The sequence below is a fragment of the Homo sapiens genome, chromosome 2 (genome assembly GCF_000001405.40).
Source record: "Homo sapiens chromosome 2, GRCh38.p14 Primary Assembly".
NCBI classification, from domain to species: Eukaryota; Metazoa; Chordata; class Mammalia; order Primates; family Hominidae; genus Homo; species Homo sapiens.
Genome location: NC_000002.12, coordinates 161,556,222 through 161,560,322, shown reverse-complemented (window position 1 = coordinate 161,560,322; position 4,101 = coordinate 161,556,222). Strand labels below are relative to the sequence as shown.

The 4,101-nt window shown below is 34.3% G+C and overlaps 1 non-coding gene across 1 annotated transcript; it reads right to left on the bottom strand.

Annotated features, from left to right (window-relative positions):
- Positions 1-1,676: 1,676 nt before the first annotated feature.
- On the bottom strand, positions 1,677-1,779 carry LOC124906148 (small nucleolar RNA U13). Its single transcript, XR_007088737.1, has one exon. It is a non-coding gene; the product is annotated as a small nucleolar RNA U13 (small nucleolar RNA).
- Positions 1,780-4,101: the final 2,322 nt, after the last annotated feature.

Here is a 4,101-nt window from a genome sequence, read left to right as displayed (position 1 = left end):
AAATCCTAAGCAAAAAGAACAAAGCTGGAAAAATCATAGTACCTGACTTCAAATAATACTACACAGCCATAATAACAAAAACAGCATGGTACTGGTCTAAAAATAGACACATAGGTCAATGAAACAGAATAGAGAACCCAGAAATAAATCAATGAGCCTACAACCAACTTATCTTCTACAAAGTAATATATATATATATATACACATACTCAGGAAAGGAAACCCTTTTCAATATATGATGCTGGGAAAATTGGATAGTCATATGCAGAAGAATAAAACTGGACTCATACTTCTTACCATATACAAAAATTAATTCAAGATAAATTAAGGAACTAAATGTATCACCTGTAAGTATAAAAATCCTACAGGAAAACCTAGGAAAAACTTTTCTGGACATTGGCCTATTCAAAGAATTTGTTATCAAGTCTTCAAAATCCAAAGTAAAAAACAAAAATTGACAAATGAGACTTAATTAAACCAAAAATCTTCTGCACAGCAAAAGAAACTATCAACAGAATAAACACAAAACCTACAGAATTGGAAAACATATTTGCAAACTATGCATCCAACAAGGGCTAATATCCAGAATCTATGAGAAACTCAAACAGCTCAACAAGAAAAAAACCAAATAACTTTACTAAAAAGTGAGCAAAGGACATGAACAAATATTTTTCAAAAGAAGACATACAAGTTGCCAACAGACATATGAAAAAGTGCTTAAAATCACTAATCAGAGAAATGCAAATAAAAACCACAATGAATTACCATCTCATACCAGTCAGAATGACTATTAAAAAAAGTCAAAAAAAAAAAAAAACCCAAAACAGATGTTGGCAAGGTTGTAGAAAAAAAAAAGGGAATGCTTATACACTGTTGGTGGGACTATAAGGTAGTAAAACCTTTATGGGAAACAGTATGAAGAATTCTCAAAGAACTGAAAATGGAATCACAATTCAATCCAGCAATCCCATTACTGGGTATATATCCAATGGAAAGAACTCATTATATCAAAAAGATACCTGCACTTCTTTCAGAATGATTCACAATCGCAAAGATACAGAATCATCCTAAGTGTCTATCAATGGAGGACTGAATAAAGAAAATGTGGTGTATGTGTGTGTGTGTGTGTGTGTGTGTATATATATATATATATATATATATATATATGAACACTACTCAGCCATAAAAAAGAAGGAAATCATGTCTTTTTTGGCAACATGGATGCAACTAGAGGCCAGAATCCTAACTGAAATAACTCAAAAACAGAAAGTTAAATACCACATGTTCTCACTTATAAGTGAGAGCGAAACAATGGGGACACATGGACATACAGAGTAAAATAACAGACATTGCAGACTACAAAAGGTGGGAGGCCGGGAGCAGGGATGAGGGCTGAAAAATTACCTATTGGGTAGAATGTTCACTGTCTGGGTGATGGGGACACTAAAAGCCCAGACTTCACCACTATGCAATATATGCATGTAAGAAATCTGCAGTTGTACCCTCTAAATTTATAAAAAATTTAAAATAAATAAATAAAACAAAAATAATTAAAAGAAATTTAAGACAAAAGAGATACATGATAAGGTCAAGGTTAAATACAGAGTTAGTAGTGAAACAAGGCCTAATGTCCTATTTCTCAATACAATACTTTTCTTGGTTTTTCCTTTCTTTCATGTCAGATGGGTAATGTGCTGACCTCATAATAAGGTTGAGGGTGGCACATTTCACACATGTGTGTGAACACCCAATCATCATGCTCATGAACTACAAAAGGGTCTACAACATTCTTTTTATCATATTACTTTGTTTTACACATTCTCAAACGAAGAGACAGTCTCCTTCATAGTCTGTCTAAATGCATTATTATTTAAAGAATCTGTATACCATCTGAAGCTGAATACCATCTGAAGCTGAATTCCAACTACACGGTCTCTGGAACAGAATGGCTTCTTTTATACAGGATGGCTGATCTCCAAACCCATATCTCAAAGCTATCAAGAGCAAAAAGAAACATCAATAGTCTGGAAACTATCCCACCTGGGCAAACACAAATTAAAGCCCCACAAGCAGGGGGGGTTCTCCTTGTCCCCAAGGGACTAGAAAGGAATTTCACTTTGCCTCATCCCTCTAGCTCTATTCCAACATTCTGGCACCTACAAACATTAAATATTTAATGAGCACCTATTATATGCTGGGCACTGTGCTACATGCTAGACAGTGAATAAGATATACAACCTCAATCCTCAAGGAGGTTGTCATCTGTGAGAGATGACAATTACAGGCAATTACAGTACAGTACATGAAGGGTTAAGAGTAAATCCATATTACCCTGAGACCACAGGCATCATCCCCTACTGACCAGGGAGAGAGGATTCAAATGGGAGGGGATTTGAGAGAAGGAGTGGGAGTTCAATATAACCAGTGAGTGGAGAATTAAGCTATTAAATCACTCAATTCACTCAACTGGGAAAGTATCTAAACGAAATAATTGTTTTGGATGTTTTAAGTGATACATGATTTACTTCCAGGCTTTGGTAAATGCTTCCATAAACCTCATAATCACACTATAACTTATCTGTTTTGTAAAGTCAGCTTTTTATACACTGAATTTACTTGAAAGAGACTTCTTGCTATACTTGTAAAAGACTACTGTATCACCTCCCTCTTCCCACTCTCTAATTAAGTTGTCAAAAAATGTTTTTCATTGTATTTGTTTTGGTTCTTAAAAAACCAATATGTAAGTCAAACAACATAGTTTACATATATTTCCATAACTGTCTTGCCATATTTTGTCACACCCACTAATCAGATATTTTCCACTCATCTCTCTGTTGTATGTGAAGCTGGCAGAAGACAATATTCTAAATTGCTTTCCAACCGCAGCACCTCAAGAGACTTAAAAACACATTAACCTCAGGCAAGATAACATGCTTTCATTTTGCAAGAAAATAAAACACTAATTATTGTCACAAAGCCTTCCTTAAAGGTCAAAAATAAATCCATAAGTGCAATAAAATTGAGGGAAAACTTAACCTAAACCTTAAAGGAATAAAGTCTTGATCTTGGAGTAAATATTTTTAAAACCTCACTATAATTTTACTTCTTGTGTGCCATAGTACCAAAACAAAGGAATTAATTGGGACACATTAATCTTGTGTTTGTTTGTTTTGTTTTGTTTCAGTCTCACAAGTATCCATGTAACTTACTTGTCTCACTTAAGTTACTTGTTCATATTTTGGGTCAATAGATATCTGCTTAGAAGAAAGCATGCACTTTGAACAGTGCTATTAATAATATCTCCACTGTATTGTTACATATTTTTTCTAGTGAACTGAAATCAACAGCAAAAATGCCCCATTTATTTCAGTAGGACTGAAGAAAATTTAAAAATTTATGTAGTAAAAACAATATGTGTGAGCCACCTGTTTGCTTTTTAACTAAATGGATTGGTATGGAATGACAGCTGCTGCAAAACCAACACACTTCAAATACTGTATATTACTTTGCCAAGAAGACTAAATTTTGGTATCATTTACTTTATTACCATGGGATGTGTTAATGGAGATTCTTACGGAAGAGCACTGTAATGAATATTTCTACCCACTAAGTGTCACTGTTCATTTAAATTTTTTTAAACTATGCTGATGGGCATGGTGACTCAGTAGAATCTTTTGAATGGGGTCAATCAGAAAAAAATAAAAATGATTCGATTACATAACACACTTAAAGCAAAGCACAGGCACTACATGAATGTAAACTGCTTAAGAGGAATTCCTAGAGATAGAGGTGTTGCTCTCAGTGGAATGCCAACTGATCAAATCAGACATTTTGCAAGCTTAAATAAGGTTTGAGTTACACTAAGCCTTGTAATCTGTTTTTACCAATATAAATGCCAAAACTGAATTGCCACTATAAAGTCTGCCAAGTTTCTTTGTATTGTATGTCAGTATGCTGTTTTCCTTCATAGTGCCATCAATAAACATGTCTGGGGATCAACTGCTTGTGATCAGATATGCTACTTTCATTGTTTCAAGCTGAGCTGATACTGCATGAAATACCAGTGCCAGAGAGGTTCCATTCAGGCTTGAACATTTGAGG